The sequence below is a fragment of the Homo sapiens genome, chromosome 10 (genome assembly GCF_000001405.40).
Source record: "Homo sapiens chromosome 10, GRCh38.p14 Primary Assembly".
In the NCBI taxonomy this organism is placed as follows: Eukaryota; Metazoa; Chordata; class Mammalia; order Primates; family Hominidae; genus Homo; species Homo sapiens.
Genome location: NC_000010.11, coordinates 97,020,171 through 97,039,117, shown reverse-complemented (window position 1 = coordinate 97,039,117; position 18,947 = coordinate 97,020,171). Strand labels below are relative to the sequence as shown.

The window sequence follows — 18,947 nt, the reverse complement described above, 5'->3', positions numbered from 1 at the left end:
AGCAAGGCTGGCCTTTTCTTCACAAGCACATCAACCACTGCGGGCCTTTTCCTGGGCCTGGCCTGCCCCGTCTTCACCCTGTTTTCTACTGCAGAGTTAGTGTCCTACAAACCTCATGAGTCCTTGCTTTCTCCTTGGAGCCTCCTAGCAGCCCTGAGAATAATGGGATGGGTGGGGCAGCCTACCTTCTTTGACTGAAGATGGTGAAGTTCAGAGCCTGCGAAAATCTTTTAACTTCTCTAAACCTCAGTTTTGTCATCTGTGAAATGGGACTACTTGGGTATGTGGACGAGGACTGCCTCGAGGATCAAACGAGATGGGTGGGAAGTCAGTTTGTATGATGCAGAGCGAGGGGTAAGGATGAGCACAGCCCTCCTTTTGCTCCTCTCTGGGGCTTTGGGAAGTGGGGGAGAGCTGTCCTGCAGGCTGTAGTTAGTTGGGGGGTGGAGATCCTGTGCTGGAGCTCAGCTTGGCTCAGCTCCTGGCATTGGGCCACTGCTTAGCACCTTCAGGCTGGAGGCATGAATGGTCAACAATGAAGGGAAGAGGGGGAGGTTCAGAGCATCTTGAATCCCAAGCTCTATCCTGTAGAAATGGGAACCTTGGGAAGCTTCGGGCTTAGGAGGATTTCGGTGGGCTTGGTTTTAAGGACAGTGACTTGGATAGCAGTGAGTAGAGTGGAGGCCAGAAGGGAGGTCCAAGGTGCAGAGAACAGACAGAAGAGGCTGCAGCAGGAGCCCGGGCATGGGTGGTGGTGCACAGTCGGCGGGTGGCATGAGAGTGCAAGGAAAGCAAGCTGTGAGAGAGCAGCGGTGGCACTGGCTGCAGAGGGAGGAGGAGAAGCGACATCAGGGTGCGGAGCCTGGAAGGCAGGAAGGCAGAGGGGTGCTGATGGAATGAGGGGGAACTGGTTGGGCAGTCTGGCTGTGAATCAGCTTCACAGCCCATGCCAGCAGGTGGACAGGGGGCCCTGGGAGCTGGCAGGGCCCGGTAACGTGCAAATCAGATCTATTTGGCCAGGAAAGAGCAGAGCAGGGAGGGGAAGGCAGGGGCCCAGGGAGTGTCCATGGACAAGGAGGAGGCTGGGAGGGTGAGAAGGGAAGCGAGAAGGGAACCGAGAGAGGCCACGTGACTATTGGCTTTTTACCAAGTCCTCTGGGTGGCACCTCCCCAGATGGCTTCAACAACGTACATATTTTCTCCTCCCATAAGTGATTCTGGGCCCATCGTGTGGCCTATGTGGAGGAGAGGAAATGAGAGCGAAGTCCCTGGCTGCAGGGAAGGCTGTCCCCAGCATGGGGCACCACCAGAGGTGGAGATGGGCACTAACGCCGCTGTGTTCTCTCTGCAGCTATTTGGACGGGAACCAGTTCACGCTGGTTCCGGGACAGCTGTCTACCTTCAAGTACCTGCAGCTCGTGTAAGTATCCAGGCCGCTTGAGGACAGGAGGGCCTTTGGCATCTAACCATCAGGACTCCGGCTTTCCTGGAATTTCCTACGGACCTCACTTCTGGGCAGATCCTGCTTCTTTTCCTTTCCCTGCTCCCCTCTGGGAACAGCTGTGCCTAGAGCTGTTTTGCCACCTAGTGGCCACGATTGGCAATTACATAGTTCCAGGCCATGTTGGGTTGGACCTGCCTCCTCCTCCTGCCCACGCCGTCTCCCCAAAGCTCCCCCGTGAGGCTGGTCGTGACTGTTAAAAGGGTTATCCTGGTCGGGCGGGCACGGTGGCTCACACCTGTAATCCCAGCACTTTGGGAGGCTGAGGCGGACGGATAACCTCTCGAACTCATGTTGGAGTTCGAGACCAGCCTGATCAACATGGAGAAACCCCATCTTTCCTAAAAATACAAAATTAGCCGGGCATGGTGGCACATGCCTGTAATCCCAGCTACTCGGGAGGCTGAGGTAGGAGAATCGCTTGAACCCGGGAGGTGGAGGCTGCAGTGAGCCAAGATCGCACCATTGCACTCCAGCCTGGGCAACAAGAGCAAAACTCCGTCACACACACACACATACACACACACACACACACACACACACACACACACACACACACACACACACAAAGGGGGTTATTCTTGCAAGGTTAGGAGCCAAGGAGCCAGGAAAAGTGGAGGGTGATGGAAAGCTTCTCGGTCCAGCTCAGCTCTCAAACCAAGTATGAACTATGGCAGCTACAAATACATACCTGTAACTAAGTTTTTCTTCAGGCTACGCCTCTGCTTTTCTATTATTTCCACCTTTGACCCCTTCTACTCCATGAAAATATACAAAATAAGCCTCAGGATAATAAGTTCAGCTCCTTTTAGTTTTCTAGCCTACCTAGCTCCTCACTTCAATTGTCTTTATCTGCTCCTTGGCCAGATTCTACCAAAAAGAAGTCCAGAGAACATTCCACCTTAGTGTGATTTGGAGCAGTCCCACTCCAAGTGCAATCTACGGGCCCACATCAGTCCCAGAACTGTTTGTAATGGGTTTGTAATTAGATATGGCGCTTACACCAGAATCTAAATCAATGTATTGCTTCCTTTGTTGAGAAAGTCTTGCTATGGAAACAATGTTCGCGTAAACTAAGCTAGGTGTGGTGACCGGATCTTGGCCCAAGTTTCTTATTGTGGGTTGGTGAAATTTAGTTCAAGGACTGGCTACTTTGGGCGGCTCTGGCTTACAGAATTTTGAAGCTCCAATTTATCTGTCTTTGCTTAATGACCTGGCCAATGTGTGTTGAATGTTCCAATGGGAGGGGTGGAGAAGGGATGGAGTAGTGTGATTCAGTGGCTGGTGTCAGAGTGCTTTGAGCCAGTGAAACTGCCTCTTGGGGGCTGAAGTACCACCACCTCCTCATCACAGGGGAGGACCACAAAGTGTGTTGAACATTCAGTAGAGCACTTAAATGTATCTCCAAAGACAGTGGAATGATTTAGAATTAGATTAGAGGAACGTTCAGGAGGAGAAGATGAAGGCACGGCACATCGTTGCATTTTCTAAATGTTTCCTGAGCTGAGAGCGCATGAAGTGGGCAGACGTGAAGGCCCCGAAGTCATGGCCCCCTCTCCAGACTGTCATGGTTTAGGGAGGATGCAGGGGAGGGGAGGGAGCGCATAAAGTCGTGTGGGTGATAAGGGTTCCAACAGAGGTCAATGCTGATTAGGGCTGTGGCTCAAGGAGGATGTGATCAACTCAGGGAGGCGGCTTGCGGGGAGGGCATCTTGGAACACGAGCTGGAGTTCATTGGTGGGCAGAGGGAATAAGCTGTCTGGGGCCACAGAGTGTAGTCTGCTCAGAGAACTTCAAGAAGCTTAGTGAATCCTAAGCCTGGGAAGTCTTCGGAGCAGGGAGCAGAGGGAGGGAGGGGCAGGGGCTAGACCCAGGAGTGCCGACAGGTGGCCAGCTAGAGGGCCTGGAGTCCACATGCTAGGCACATGGGTGCCACTGTGGGGTTTCGTCAGCTTTGTGTCATAGAGAAATTGCTCTGGTGCCACCCTCATGGCAGATGGATCAAAAGGGGCAAAGCAGTGGGTGAGAGATGAGGTCAGAATCCCAGGCAGGAGCCAGAGAGAGAGGACGCTGGCTCAGGAGGAGGGCACGGTGCGAGAGGTGACCAGGGCCACCAGCCAGGGGCGGATCAGATGGGTGGGATGAGAGGGCAGATGTGTGGGCAGGCAGCATTATGGAGCTGGAGCCTGGGGGATGGGGCGTGGTAGGGAGAACAAGATGCGGGCGGAGTTTGAGTATCTGTGGGCATCAGGAGGAGGAGTTCATGAGAGGACAGGCTGGGGCCATGGGGAGGGGGGCACTGTCAGCACAGGGGCGTCCCCGAGGGCACCCAGATTGGACTAAACAGGGCACAGATGGGCTTTAGCAATCCCCATGCCTCTGGGCTGAGTACAAAGGAAGCTTCTACCAGAGACTGAGGAGGCACAGCCAAAGGCCCCCAAAGACAGTCGGGAGCGGAGGAAAGCGGGTGGCGGGAGTTTTGAGAAGAGAAGAGAGATCAGTTGTGTCAGATGCCACAGGTGACTCGGAGAGGCCATGGCAGCAACCTGGGCTTGTGGCCAGTGGACCGGCTTTGAATCTGGCTCTGCCTCCGACCAGCTGGTGACCCTTCAAGAGTCATGGATCCCTCTGAGACTCTGGGTCTTTGTCAAATGGGGCTGCCCTCTCCCTCATAGGACTGCCTCGTAGGGAGGGCTTCTGAACGAGCCCACCTAAGGTGCTGGCAGGAGAGAAAGGAGAGAGTGCTGGATCTGGTCGGGAGGCCACCAACACCCTGGTGGGAGTGTTCCCATGGTAAAAAGGGGCAGAGCCAGGCTCTGCTTGCAGAGGGATGGGGGTGAGGGTCAGGAAATGGAGGCACCAAGCCCTGGTACCTGAGGGAGTTGAGGGAGCAGCGCAGCACTGTAGCTAAGCAAGCGCTGAGACCCGAGGCTGTGCACCAGGGCTCCTCTCCACCCCTGGCCAACCTGGCTGGGGAATGGCCCTGGGCAGAGTGAGGGAGGGGAAGAAGCCCGTGAATGTGAGCCAGGGCTGAGTGAGTTCTTTCTAAATCATGATGCCTTTGCCTTTTCCAGGGACCTGAGCAACAACAAGATCAGTTCCTTAAGCAATTCCTCCTTCACCAACATGAGCCAGCTGACCACTCTGTGAGTCCCAGCAGGGCTGGGGTGGGGGGCCCCGGGGCCATGGCTGTGAGTCATTCCCTAGCCCCAGCCTGTGCTTTTTGCTCCCAGATCCCTCGCCTGCAGACGCCTTGCCCTCTGGAGAGGGTGCCGGGCCTGAGAGCCTAAAAGACTTTGAAAAAACATCTTTCATTGTGAAATACAACATATGGCATATATGGAAAATAATAATGCAAAAAGTAAATAGTGCAAAAAAATAAATATACAGTTTCACAAATAATCATAAAGCTAGCACACATGTAGATACCAAGTCAAAAATTAAGGACACTCGGCCAGGCGCAGTGGCTCACGCCTATAATCCCAGCACTTTGGGAGGCAGAGGCAGGTGAATCACTTGAGGTCAGGAATTCAAGACCACCCTGACCAACATGGTGAAACCCCATGTCTACCAAAAATACAAAAATTAATCGGGCTGGGTGGCGGGTGCCTGTAGTCCCACCTACTTGGGAGGCTGAGGCAGGAGAATCGCGTGAACCTGGGAGGTGGAGCTTGCAGTGAGCCAAGATCGTGCCATTGCACTCCAGCCTGGGTGATAGAGCGAGACTCTGTCTCAGAAAAAAAAAAAAAAAAAAAATAGAACAGTGCTAGCACCTTGTCCCTTCCTGATCCTTATTGCTGTCTCCTCCCCTACCCCAAGGCAGCTGCTGTCCTGACTTTATGAGGATCACTTCTTTTATTTTCTTTACAGCATTACCATCTACATAAGCATTTCTAAATAATATAGTCTAATTTTGTCGATTTTCACTTTGTTCAAGTGGAATCATATGGGTGATAGTCTTTTGTATCTGGCTTCTCTTGCTTAGCATTGTCTATGAGATCCATTCATGCCACCGTGGCAGCTGTGGTCTGTTCATTCTCATTGCTAGGTAATGTTCCTTTGGAGGAACGGGCCACACTTTCCTCATCTATTCTAGTCTTGATGGATATTGAGGTTGTTTCCAGTTTGGATTGTTGTGAGCGGTGACCCTCTGAACATTTTTTGTGGCCATATTCTAAGATATTTAAATGCTGGCTTTAATTATATTCCAAGCAACTGATCAGAACATATTACCAAGTGTCCCTTATATTTGCCTGGTGTGTAAAAGTATCTCATTCACCTTCCAACACCTCACTTTACAGATAGAACAGTAGAGCCAGTACCCAAAAAAGGAAGGGGCCCTGACCCAGCCATTCTCCAGGAGCTGAATGTGGGCCCAAGCCAAAATACAAAATAAAAAAATTAGTCAGGTGTGGTGGTGCACATCTGTGGTCCCAGCTACTTGGGGGGCTGAGGTGGGAGGATGGTTTGAGCCTGGGAGGCAGAGGTTGCAGCAAGCCAAGATCACACCCCTGCACCCCATCCTGGGTGACAGAGCTGGACCTTGTCTCAAAAAAAAAAAAAAAAGAAAGAAAGAAAAAGAGTGCTATTCTTGATAATCCCCTGCTCCTGCCTCTCCCAGCTCCGAGACCCAGGCAACCACTGGTCTGCTTTCTGTCACTGTAGGTTAGTTTGCATTTTCTAGGGTTTTACATACAAATGGAGAAAGTCGTTTTTGCTTGGCTTCTGCGCCCAGCATGATTATTTTGAGCTTCACCCATGGTGTGGTGTTGCATGTGCCGGTAGCTCTTTCTCATTGCTGAGCTGTGTTCCACTGTACAGGCATGGATGTGCCACAGTTTGCTCATCCATTCGTCTGCTGGGGAACACGGGGGCTGTTTCCAGCATGACGCTATTGCAAGTGTGATTTCCCTTGTTAATCTGCCTGTCTGCCCTGGATGGATTCAGTTACTTGGAAGCATTTTGGGACAGTGGCTTAGCCTGTGGGCTCTGGAAACTGAAAGCTATAATGAAAATCCCTTCTTAATAACTTTTTTTTTTTTTTTTGAGATGGGGAGTCTCGCTCTGTCGCCCAGGCTGGAGTGCAGTGGCGCGATTTTGGCTCACTGCAACCTCTGCCTCCCAGATTCAAGTGATTCCCCTGCCTCAGCCTCTCGAGTAGCTGGGATTATAGGCGTCTACCACCATGCCTGGCTAATATTTGTATTTTTAGGAGAGACGGGGTTTTGCCATGTCGGTCAGGCTGTTCTCAAACTCCTGACCTCAGGTGATCCGCCCACCTCAGCTTCCCAAAGTGCTGGGATTACAAGAGTCAGCCACCGCATCCAGCCTTCTTAATGACTTAATAATGTGACCCTGGAGAAGTTTTTTCACCTCTCAAGGCCTCAGTCTCCTCATCTATAAGATGGGAATAGTGACAGCACCTTCCTCACTGTCACAGCTTTTCAATAGTAAATTATTGTAGATGACTTTGCCTGTCCTCCCTGGAAGTGGTCGGCTGAGACGGTGAGCTCCCCGCAGTCAGGTGTCACCTTCATAGGGAACTCGCCTATGCACCTTGCTGGGGCAGCCCCTTAGGGAATGTTCTCAATCATAACAACAGCAACTCTCCTTTGTTGAGGATTTATTGGAGTCAGGCATGATGCTAAGTGCTTCACCTGGATTTCGTCCCCAGGACAGCCCTATGGAGTTGGCATTATTTTTGTCCCTATTTTACAGTCGGGGGAACTGATTGAGGCAGAAGGGATTAGGGGGCATGCCCAAGACCACCAGCTTCTTAGGGCGCAGCCCAGCCCATGCACTTGCCGGCTGCTCTGCCTCCCCTCACAGAGCCCGAGGAGGCTGCTGGGTGAGAGGGACCTCCACGTCCTGGGCGGCGGCTGTGCCCACAGGGGCCAGGCACTAACACAGTGCCCTTCCTCCATCTCCTTCCTCCGCAGGATCCTCAGCTACAATGCCCTGCAGTGCATCCCGCCTTTGGCCTTCCAGGGACTCCGCTCCCTGCGCCTGCTGTAAGTCTCCTCACTCACCATCCTGCCAGAAAATCCACCCCACTGAGGGTCCTGCCACCCACCTGGTGGGCAGAAATGTTCCCATGTCTAGGGCCCACGCTGTGCCATGGTGGAGTCCAGAGTGCTGTCACTTAAGCCCCTGTGGATACTCTCATTCCCAAGAAGCTGGGGCGTGCATGGGAAATGATCTGAGAAATGGGGGTTGCTGTCACCCCCAAGATGAGTTTGTGGTGGTAGGGGCGGGACATCCAAAATAAGGTGGCCCTTCATTTGCATGTGAGACTTCTGTTCAGATTAAAGAATGTTTGTTTGCAAGAGATTTGTGAACCTCTTCTGTGAGTTCTCACTGTGAGGTTTTTGCCCTGGGATCAAAGCCCTCAGTCCATCCATTATGATGGCCTCAGTCAGCCCACCAGGGGCAAGGTGACATTCTCCCAGCCCTAACCTGTGGCTGTCCTTCTTAACTTCCTAAGAAGAAGCGCCTCCCCCCTTAGGGTCCTCCACGAAAAGAGGGAGGGCTCTGGGTGCACGGGTCCTGTTTGTAATGTAAACACAGTGTTTCAGTCCTCCGAAGGGCTTGGGGACAGGGCCGTCTGCCTGGAGGATTTCTTCCCTGTGGCCAGCTGAGCTAGGGGCCATCTCCTTCAGGTCACTGACTGAGAGGCCTAGAGGGAAGGCACGGCCTGTCCCCTCTCTGCAGAGGGCTGGGCCTCTCCCTCCAGCAGGTCTCCCATCTCTGTCCCTGGATAAGGCACCAGCAGCCTCTTCCCTTCTCAGGTCTCTCCACGGCAATGACATCTCCACCCTCCAAGAGGGCATCTTTGCAGACGTGACCTCCCTGTCTCACCTGTGAGTACCCTAGCCCCTTTCTCTGGGCCTCTTTGGATTTCAACAGGACTTGGTTTCTGAGAAGATCCCACCTCCTGAGATTGTCAGAGTTTGTTGCTTTTACTCTGAAATTAAGCTTGGGAACTTCCCACGTGCACCTTCTGGGACTCTTATATGTCCAGTGGTTCATCAGCCACAGCAATAGAGTAGAAGAACAGTTCCTCGCAAGCGGTAGTGAAGGTTGTCATGACCATTGATCGATTGCTGTGCACTTCGCCTGCCTCAGCTAATGTGCGCCTCACAGTTATCCTACAACATAGGTGCTGTGGTTCTCATCTTTCACACCGGGAAATGGATGGAGAAAAAGTGGGATGCTTGCCCAAAGCTGCACAGCTGCAGGGTGGTGAGGTTTCTGACTCCTAGGCCAGTGCTCTTAAGCGCTCCACTAGTACTGTGCCTCCGACTTCACACAGTGCAGGATAAGCTCTGGAAATTTACTGCCTCCAATAGGTGCTGTAATTCAATGTAGAATTACTTCCAAAACCATTTAGCTAGCAGTGCTATGAGAATTCCTTAAAAGCAGTGGGCTTGATTCCTCAAAAATCTCAACATAGGATTACTGTATAACCCAGCAATCCACTCTAAGAGGTATATCCAGAAGAATGGAAAGCAGGGACTCAAACAGATGTGTGTACACCAATGTTCACTGCAGCATTTTACATAATAACCCCGAACTGGAAACAGCCTATGTCCACAGATGATAAACAAAACGTACTACATACATACAATGGGGTATTGGCCATAAAAATGATGAAGTTCCGATGCGTGCTATGACATGGATGAATCTTGAAGGCATTATGTTAGGTGAAATAAGCCAGACACAAGAGGACGAATATTGTATGATTCAGTATATATGAGGTACCTAGAACAGTCAAATTCATAGAGACAAAAAGTAGAATGGTGGATGCCAGGAGCTGGAGGCAGGGGCCATGGGGAGTTGGTGTTTAATGAGCACAGAGTTCTTTTGGGGTGATGAAAATGTTTTGGAAATAGGTAGTGGTGATATTGTACAACACTGTGAATACAATCAATGTGACTGAATTGTACACTTAAAATGTTGAAAGTGGCAAATTTCATGTGATATATATATTTTGCCATATAAAAAACAGACGAAATCAAAAAGCACTGGACTGTGACAGGGCCATCCTAATTCTGGAGGTTGGGCTGGGCACTGAGCAGGCACATTCTCTCCTGGCATCTCTTGGCATTACTGGCTGAGGCAGGATAGGAGAACTGTGGCCACGTGGACTCTGCCTGGCACCTCAGGTGCAACTGTCTCCTTTTGCTGTCAGCCCCATCCTCAAGCCCTAAAAGGGGCCTGGTGGGCAGGCATACCCAGGTTGGAGAGCCTTTTGGGGCCCCAAGCCACTCTTCTTGAAGTTCATTCACTCATCAGTCTCGCTAGATTTTCTCTAAGACTCACCTTTTCTACATTTTAAACTCTAAAACCAGAGTGTATATTTAATATGGTAATGTTCCCCACCCTTCAGAAAGCATGTTAAATCAGCGGTGCATCAAACAATCTTAGACTTCAGGAGATAAAATAGTAACAGGTGTTGCCCTTTGAGGGTCTGCCTGAGTCAAATACTATACTCTGTGCCTCATCTACAAGGTCTTGATTACCCCATGATTGAACCGGGAAGTGCGTTTTATGTTATGAGCCAGCTCCACATGATTGGCAGGAACTGTCTTGAGGACCGCACTGAAGATTCCAGGGCTGGACCTGGACTCAGTGGGAGGGGTGCTGTGATTGATTTGTAATGTCTGCCATGGAAGTGGGAGGGGTAAGGGGCTCTGCCTCAGGTGGTAGGATTTGATTTATTATTTCCATTTTACAGTCCTAGGTTCTAAAAATTTAGGCAGCTTCCCTAGGATTTGAATTTAGGTGTGTCTGATTCCAAAGCTCGCTATTTATTCTTTACTCTATTGCCTTAATAAATACATCCTGGGTAACCAGAGTGACTCTAGTGCTGAAGAATTTACTAACACAAGGTTTCTGCCCACTGTGACCATTTGGGATCTTATAAAGAGAATTCAAAGGAAGCAGTGACTAACTCTGGGCAAGTCCAAGGGGCTTCACAGAGGAGGTACCATTTATGCTGTCATTGGAAAGGAACTAGGAGTTGGCCAGTTGGAGAAAGTGAGGAAGGGAATTCTAGGAAGAGGGAACAGCATGTGCAAAGGCATGAACATGAAAAAATGGGATGTTCAAGGATGCTGCGTTGTCCAGCATAGGATAAAGGGTGTTTGGTTGGGGCAGGAATGTGGGGTGGGAGGAGATTAATCTGGAAAGGGACATTGGAATTCTGTTGTGAAGGACCATTTGTGCCTGCTAGGGAGTTTGCACTTCATTGTGTAAAGAAAGGGAATTGTGGGGAACTGAGTTTCAGGAAACTCCTGGAAAGCCCATGGTGACATACAGAGGGTGAGTGGGGTGGGAGGAGGCAGGAGTGAGCCCTGCTGGAGGTGGTGCCTCTGGACATAGGCCAGGTTGGGACAGTGTTGTTTATTGTTCCTACTGACTTGAATTCACAGGGGCTTGTTTCCATCTGTGTTGGGTAATTTTTGGTTGCATGCTCATTTTTGCTGACATGTCTTTAGGAACTCTGAAGAGCTAAGTTGGAGATGCTCCTCTCCAGAGTGCATTTGTGCTTGTCTCTGCTGGGCACCAAGGGCTGCTGCTACCCTGGGACCACATAGCTTTTGTTGCATACACCTGGGCATAGCCGAGTGTCCACTTTCACTGTCCACCTTAGCCTTTTCAGCATCTAGTCTACATTTTACACCTTTGCATTTCCGCCCCCCCTTAATGTATCTCTTGTACTCGGGGTTCAACTGTGCAGATGTGCAGTTGGCTACCTTTTCTCCTTCCTCATGAGAACCAAATAACACCTGAGTACATCTTGTCTCCAGCTCAAAATCTAGAGGTTTTGTTTTTCAAATGAGAGGTGAACAAACAACATATGTTTTAAGCAAACCAAAAAAACCAAAGCTGCAAAAACAAATGTTGAGCCTATACCCATCTATAAATTAAGACTTTCTTTAGGAGAACAGTGATATCAGGCCAGAAGCCAGATCTAGTTTATAAGAAATAAACCAATAAGTAAAGATCAGGTTAGCAGTACTTGTAGAAAGTGGCATCAGTTTTACTGATTAGATGTGTTTATTAATTGCACCTAAGCTTAATTTCTCTACGAAACAGCATCTGTGTGAAAGAAACCTTCAGTTGTTATCAAGAAAGCTTGTGGATAAACTCTGCCCTTTATACCCAGGGTTTAAGATGGAAACAGGCAGCAGCCTGGAAGATGTGTGTGTACTTATATTCATGTGTTTGCACATATGCACATGCAGTATTGATGGGATATATGTCATGTACACACATACAGTGGTTGTCGCCTCTGTGCTTAAGACCTGCAACTCTTCCAGAAAGAATATTGAGCACTTATAAGGAATTGAAGAACGGTAAAAGGATGACATAGACCCACTACATTCACTCCGGGCTTCGTGAAAGCTGTATGCAATTTGAAGGGAGGCCCTCGCACACGGCTCTATGACAAGTGACAATCGAGGGTTAGCCAGGAGTTACCATCCAGTGTTCCTGGTTCCTGAAGGTGCTGATGTTACTGAGAAGCCCTGCTCCTGATCTGACTCTGGCCAGGGCCTCTCCTGTCCACTCGCAGTGTGGAGGAGGGGTGTGTGGAAGAGGGGAAGTCTTCCTATTTAAAACCCTTGAACTCTAGACTAATCAGGACTTGGGGCTTTAGGTTCTTGTTCTGCCATCAACTTGCAATGGGCTTTCAGACAATTTATTCTTCTCTTGAGGCCTATTTTCTTACCTACACGAAGATGATTTCTAAGGTCTCACATGGTTCACACATGCTGTAATGATTGTGAGCACTCTTTACTGTGCTGGACTTCAATACCCTGCACAATCCTCTGCTGCTATTTACTTTGCAGTTAACTCATCTTCCATTCAGCCAGCCAGCCATCAGCAAATATCTACTATGCACCAGGTCCCAGGCTAGGGTTCCCCAATGTCTGTCTTCATTGCTATACTCTGGCATTTTGTTGCCTCTCATTTGCTGTAGGCTGGAAAGCTAGATGTCCAAATGCATTAAGAATTTGGCATGAAAGGAAATATGGAAGGATTAAGTAAATTATGGCATGCCCATATGACAGAATAGCAAGTACTTAATAATGATGATAAAGACAACACATTTATTTATTTATTTATTTATTTATTTATTTATTTAGAGACGGAGTTTCGCTCTTATCGCCCAGGCTGGAGTGCAGTGGTGAGATCTCGGCTCACTGCAACCTCCGCCTCCCGGGTTCAACCAATTCTCCTGCCTCAGCCTCCTGAGTAGCTGGGATTATAGGCACCTGCCACTATGCCTGGCTAAGTTTTGTATTTTTAGTAGAGATGGGGTTTCGCCATGTTGGCCAGGCTGGTCTCAAACTCCTGACCTCAGGTGATCCACCCGCCTCAGCCTCCCAAAGTGTTGAGATTACAGGCATAAGCCACCGTGCCCGGCCAACACTATACCTTATTATTTGATGAAAACCTAGAATAAAGTAGACTGTACACTCTGATGTACAAACATATACACAGGAAATGGAAGGGAATACACTAAAATCAAATCAGTTGCATTTATGGGATGATAGGTGGTTCTTTTCTTTTTGAATTTCCTTTGCACTAAGATGTTGTGCTTTTCTCATGCTTTTAGACAGGCATTCATTCATTCACCAGACATTGACTGGTGCCTGCTAGTGCCTGACACAGCTGGGGATTTAGTGGTTTCTGCCCTCAAATGCAGCAGGAGACAGTGATGCGCACAGATAGATCGCCTAGGAGTGGGATGGATGATTCTGTGACTTGTAAGACAGCCAGGGGGCGCTATTTCAGTCCAGGTTACGCAAATAGGAGCTGGGTAGGGCCTTGGCATGAACAGATCAAATAGCTACTGTTTCAACTATTTCCATATTATGCCAGAGATCAACAACACAGGGTTATTTTTACTTTGGCTGGGGTATAAACCTGAATCCACAGTCCTTTTGGATTGGCGTGGCCTGGCTGCGGTGTCTGCCTCCCCAACCCCTGACCACCAAATACATCTCAGTCGGGCCTTGGCTCTGCACTCCCCACTGAGTTCACAGGAGTTTTCGTCAGGAGAAATAGTCCCCAGATGAATGCAAACTACAAGTACTACCGAAGAGAGGGCAAGGCAGTCCTCAGCCCCGAAAATCCAGCCTTTGGATAAATGAAAGCTTGTAATGTTGAATTCAGGTGTGGCTCAGAGTCTATTCAGTATAGAAACAAGGAAAAGCAAGTGTGGGCCAATCCAGAATTTATATTTTTGAATAGCTTTAGACGTGACTTTGTACCCATATTTTTTGTTGTTGTCGTTTTTTGTTTTTTTGTTTTTGTTTTTTGAGACGGCTGGTGTGGCATGAGCCACAAGTTGCCCAGGCTGGAGTTCAGTGGTCCGATCTCAGCTCACTGCAACCTCTGCCTCCTGGGTTCAAGCGATGCTCCTGCCTCAGCCTCCTGAGTGGAGTAGCTGGGATTACAGGCGCCTGTCACCATGCCCAACTAATTTTTGTATTTTTAATAGAGACAAGGTTTCACCATGTTGGCCAGGCTGGTCTTGAACTCCTGACCTCAGGTGATCTGCCTGCCTCAGCCTCCCAAAGTGCTGGGACTACAGGCGTGAGCCATCGCTCCTGGCCTGCACCCATATTTTTTTTATGATGGAGAGAGGGGAAGGAGCACTTACATCTCAGGTGTCACTTTGCTGACATTTATGGAGGGACCGTAAGCCACGCCGTGGGCCCTCTCTTTCACAGGGCCTCAGATTTCATCTTTTTGGCATTTTTCTCTAAATGAGCTACAGGACTGAAATAAAGCATTCCCAATCATCTTTCAACTTGTGGCTCATTGCCAGGCCACACTCCTTATCATGTGCTATAAAAAATACTTAGAAATACATTGTGTATTTATCTTTCGAATAACATACTTATGTGACATCACACTTTTTGTTAGTATAAAAATACTAATCTGGTGAGTGTAAACATTTTAAATATACCACCATTTAAAAATTCCTGTTATCTTAAAAAGTCTTTGTTTTTCTAAACACACTGGAACTTCAGAAAAAAATCACCCATCCCGTTAGCCAGGATGGATGCTGTCAGCAAATAAGGAAAGAAAAAAATGAAACACATGCCGAGGTCGAACCTGCTCTCTTTTCTGAGCTGTGTTGTTCCCTCAGCACCTCTTTTAGGTCATGCGTGCTTGTCTGTCTTCTCCCTCTAGGTTGCAGGCTCTTTATTGAAACATGAAGTGACCCCCAGATATATTAAGGGAGCCACTCAAGGTCGCCCAGGCACGGGGCAGCTGCATGGGGGCCGGAGTCCAGGTCTTGTTCAGCCTGCTTTATAAGATTGTGAATCATCAGCTGAGCTATTTTGGGGAATTCCTGTTCAGAGCCACTGCTGCTTTAATCAGGTTGTACAGGTCTCAAGGGTAACTGCTTCCTCTGTCCTGCCCAGAAACAGGTGGAAAATGGCAAGGCATCCATTGGTTATTTAGTAAATGTGCCCATTCTCATTCACGTTATTTAGCCTTATATTTTCAAAATAATGTTGATATCAATGAACTTTAGGCATAAGGCATTCATATTTGCTGAGTCAGAGAACTCTGGCCCACTTTTCCTTCCCTCGCTCCCTCCCTCCCTCCTTTCCTTCCTTCCTCTCTCTCTCTTTTCTTTTTTCTTTTTCCACTGAGTTTCAGTCTTGTCGCCCAGGCTGGAGTGCCATAGCATGATCTCAGCTCACTGCAACCTCCCCCTCCCGGGTTAAGTGATTGTCCTGCCTCAGCCTTCCGAGTAGCTGGGGCTACAGGCATGTGCCACCACACCCGGCTAATTTTTGTACTTTTAGTAGAGATGGGGTTTCACCATTTTGGCCAGGCTGGTCTCGAACTCCTGACCTGAGGTGATCTGCCTGCCTCGGCCTCCCACAGTGCTGCGATTACAGGAATGAGCTACCTCACCCGGCCGGAATTCTGGCTCTTTCTTACCCTAAAATCCATGTCTTGTCCATCTCTAAGTCTCTCATGTGGTTTAGTGGAGAGATTCTGAGCTTGCCCATCAGATTGGTAAGAAACAAAGGGGTTGGCAGTATGTTGGTGCAGGCGTGAGAGCAGGCCCAGCCTTGTACTGATGGCCAGTGTAAGTGGATACAACCTTTGCAGTTGGGGGCGGGCTATTAGCATATTACACGTGCTTCCTCTGACCCCCAAATCCTACTTCTAGGCATCTGTTCTAGAGAAATTCTCACACCACACAAAAAGGAGCCAGGTGCAGTGGCTCAAACCTGTAACCTCAGCACTTTTGGAGGCTGAGGTGGACGGATCACTTGAGGCCAGGAGTTTGAGACCAGACTGGCCAACTTGGCGACACCTCCATCTCTACTAAAAATACAAAAAAAAAAAAAAAAAAATTAGGTGGGCGTGGTAGTGTACGCTGTAATCCCAGCTACTCAGGAGGCTAAGGTACAAGAATCACTGGAACCTGGGAAGCAGAGGTTGCGGTGAGCTGAGATCGTACCACTGCACTGCAGCCTGGGCCACAGAGTGAGACCCTGTCTCATAAAAAAAAAAAAAGAGGCACGTATGAGTATTCACTGCCATTGGAAAGAACCAGAATGTCCAGCAACAGGGACGCTGTCCACTGTGCCATGGGATATCCACTCTGGGATATTGCGGAACAGTTGGACACAATGAGATAGATGCTTATATGCTGACCAGGAAGATTCCCAAGACGTGCTGTTTAGTGACAAGGAGCAAGCTGCTCAGTAGTGATGTGATTTGTAAGGAGGAACCACGTGTGTACGTGTGGGAAAGGCCTGGAAGGCTACACGCCTGAGCATGGTGACCCTGTGACTGTGTGCCCCTTTGTGGAGGGCAGTGACAGTGGGGTGTAGACTTTTGTTTTTCGTAATGTGAATGTATCACAATTTATATAACCACTCCCCATTGATGAACATGGGGTTTCCAGTCTTTCCATTACAAATAGGCCCATTGCACAGATGTCTTTATGTGTGCCTACAGGTAAACGCCCAGAAACAATGGCTGGATCAGAAGGCAATTGCATAAGTCATATGATAAGTGTCACACAATTCCCCTCCACAGGCGCTCTACTATTTTGCACCCCCATCAGTAACACAGGAATGTGCCTTCAAAAAAATTGAGGTGAAATTCACATAATACCAAATTAAGCATTTTTTAAAAAGTGTGCAACTCGGTGGCATTTAATCATTCACAGTGTTGTGCAGGGCAGACACTTGCTTTGTCTGCAATGCTTGAAAGTGGCTGACAATGAGAATGCATTCATGTGTTCTGTTTAATTAAAAATGCAAAGAAAAATAAAAGAGCATGGGCTTCGGAGGCAGACAGCGGCACATCTGGATCCAGGGGCTGCCCTTAGCTAGTTGTGTGACCCCAGGGAAATTACTTATTCCATGGGAGGCTCGGTGCCCACATCTTTGAGATGGAGAGGAGAAAACTTGCACAGTGGGGCTGATGAGATGATTCGGTGCCCAAACACAGGAAAAGCAGCTGTCTCATTGCAGCAGTCGATGTGGGTTGCTTTCTCCCCATGCACACTGGAGGCAGTGCATTCGTAGGCTCTGGCCCCAACAGCATGGCCCCAACAGCTTCCCGTTTCTCTGTGTGATCTTAGGCAAATTCCTCAGCCTTTTTGAGCCTCGGTTTCTGCACATGTAAAATGAGAATAGTAGCGTGTGGTGATGACTAAGTGAGACAATGCATATGCAGTGCTTAAAACAGCACTGGCAGCCAGGCACGGTGGCTCACGCCTGTAATCCCAGCACTTTGGGAGGCTGAGGTGAGTGGATAACCTGAGTTTAGGAGTTCAAGACCAGCCTGGTCAATATGGTGAAACCCCGTCTCTACTAAAAATACAAAAATTAGCTGTGCATGGCGGTGTGTGTCTGTAATCCCAGATACTTGGGAGTATGAGACAGGAGAATTGCTTAAACCTGGGAGGCAGAGGTTGCAGTGAGCTGATATTACGCCACTGCACTCCAGCCTGGGCGACAGAGCGACACTCCATCTCAAAAAAAGAAAAAAAAAAAAAAGCAGCACTGACTATACAGTAAATGCTCATGAAATGGAGGCTAAGATTTTTGCCAGCCCCTGGTGCAGTGCCTGGGACTCTAGGTTCCCAGTGGGCGAGGGACCCCATGAAGCTGTAATGCCTGCTTCTCTCTGCTTTCTGCTCAGGGCCATTGGTGCCAACCCCCTATACTGTGACTGCCACCTCCGCTGGCTGTCCAGCTGGGTGAAGACTGGCTACAAGGAACCGGGCATTGCTCGTTGTGCTGGGCCCCAGGACATGGAGGGCAAGCTGCTCCTCACCACGCCTGCCAAGAAGTTTGAATGCCAAGGTGAGCCTAGGAGCACAGCCTCCTGCTGCTGGGGGCTCACAGAACTTGCCCAACACTGCAGGGCCTTCCTAACATGCCTGCGTCCCTGTGGTGACCGCTGGGCGGGGGGTCAGGGGACAGGAACAAGGCACCTGCGGCTTGATGGCTGCCTTCCAATCCTGACATATCATGGACAAAAAGAGCCAGGCAGAAAAATCCCAGGCCGTCAGGGCCGTAATCCCTCCCTGTGGTTACATAAGGAAAATAAAAATAGCAGCAGTGTTTCTGGAAGCTCCAAGCCTCGCAGCAGAGCATGCGCTCAGACCTCCCTTTGGTAGGAATTGTGTTCAGCAGTTAACTTAGACCTCTCTCAGTCCCTGGTGGAGCAAGGGTCCCAGCAGCCACTCTCCCGACATTTACAGAAATACAGAGCTGGAGTGTCACTGGAGGCTGGTTCCGGCTTTGCCCCGGGACCCTCCACTGTGGGCATTTGTAAATACTCATTCAGGGATTGAGTGACTGACAGCTCAAGCCCCAGAAGCCCTGCTGAGCACAGACAGGTGGCTGAGTGGCCGCCGGGGCCGGGCTTTATGTGCAGGGGTACAGCGGGGGGAGGACACTGGAGGCCGTGGAGCACGGCTCCTGCCCTCTGCAAGCTCAGAGGCCACTGTTGGAAATGAAGCTGACAGCTGTAGGTTAATGAGGAGGCCCTGGGCCACCCTGCATGCAGGATGCTGTCACAGCCGTAACGGCTCCGGGGGGCCTGATCTGCGGCTTGGCTGTTGGGAGCAAGTCAATTTATGCTGAAACCTTTGCTCTGTGTTTATTTAATGGGGTGGGATTGGTGCTGGTGAGAAGGGGTTTTGTTTTGTTTTATTATTTTTATCGAAAGAGAACACACACATTAAAGTACACAGATCATGAGTGAATGGGTTGCTGAAGTTTCACAAACTGAACTCACCCAGGTAACCTGCACCTGGATCAAGAAACAGAACCCCAGCTGGGCGTGGTGGCTCACACCTGTAATCCTAGCACTCTAGGAGGTTGAGGTGGGAGGGTCGCTTGAGCCCAGGAGTTCGAGACCAGCCTGGGCAACATGG

General features: G+C 49.5%; 1 protein-coding gene across 1 annotated transcript in view, besides 5 other annotated features; it reads left to right on the top strand.

Annotated features, from left to right (window-relative positions):
* The window catches only part of SLIT1 (slit guidance ligand 1), a 187,922-nt gene that overhangs the window by 146,842 nt on the left and 22,133 nt on the right, over positions 1 to 18,947 (top strand). The window contains exons 22-26 of the mRNA NM_003061.3: positions 1,352 to 1,420; positions 4,576 to 4,647; positions 7,441 to 7,512; positions 8,290 to 8,361; positions 17,705 to 17,868. Coding sequence (NP_003052.2) covers positions 1,352 to 1,420; positions 4,576 to 4,647; positions 7,441 to 7,512; positions 8,290 to 8,361; positions 17,705 to 17,868 — 449 coding nt within the window. The remainder of the gene's footprint in view (positions 1 to 1,351; positions 1,421 to 4,575; positions 4,648 to 7,440; positions 7,513 to 8,289; positions 8,362 to 17,704; positions 17,869 to 18,947) is intronic.
* Positions 536 to 1,036: an enhancer, noted in NCBI's record as "H3K4me1 hESC enhancer chr10:98797839-98798339 (GRCh37/hg19 assembly coordinates)". NCBI's record gives its function as "activates a minimal SCP1, AML or CMV promoter by ChIP-STARR-seq in naive H9 embryonic stem cells {active_cell/tissue: H9 hESC(naive)}" and the evidence as "EXISTENCE:reporter gene assay evidence [ECO:0000049][PMID:30033119]".
* Positions 4,094 to 4,850: an enhancer, noted in NCBI's record as "H3K27ac-H3K4me1 hESC enhancer chr10:98794025-98794781 (GRCh37/hg19 assembly coordinates)". NCBI's record gives its function as "activates a minimal SCP1, AML or CMV promoter by ChIP-STARR-seq in primed H9 embryonic stem cells {active_cell/tissue: H9 hESC(primed)}" and the evidence as "EXISTENCE:reporter gene assay evidence [ECO:0000049][PMID:30033119]".
* Positions 6,794 to 7,364: an enhancer, noted in NCBI's record as "H3K4me1 hESC enhancer chr10:98791511-98792081 (GRCh37/hg19 assembly coordinates)". NCBI's record gives its function as "activates a minimal SCP1, AML or CMV promoter by ChIP-STARR-seq in primed H9 embryonic stem cells {active_cell/tissue: H9 hESC(primed)}" and the evidence as "EXISTENCE:reporter gene assay evidence [ECO:0000049][PMID:30033119]".
* Positions 7,365 to 7,935: an enhancer, noted in NCBI's record as "H3K4me1 hESC enhancer chr10:98790940-98791510 (GRCh37/hg19 assembly coordinates)". NCBI's record gives its function as "activates a minimal SCP1, AML or CMV promoter by ChIP-STARR-seq in primed H9 embryonic stem cells {active_cell/tissue: H9 hESC(primed)}" and the evidence as "EXISTENCE:reporter gene assay evidence [ECO:0000049][PMID:30033119]".
* Positions 17,378 to 18,211: an enhancer, noted in NCBI's record as "H3K4me1 hESC enhancer chr10:98780664-98781497 (GRCh37/hg19 assembly coordinates)". NCBI's record gives its function as "activates a minimal SCP1, AML or CMV promoter by ChIP-STARR-seq in primed H9 embryonic stem cells {active_cell/tissue: H9 hESC(primed)}" and the evidence as "EXISTENCE:reporter gene assay evidence [ECO:0000049][PMID:30033119]".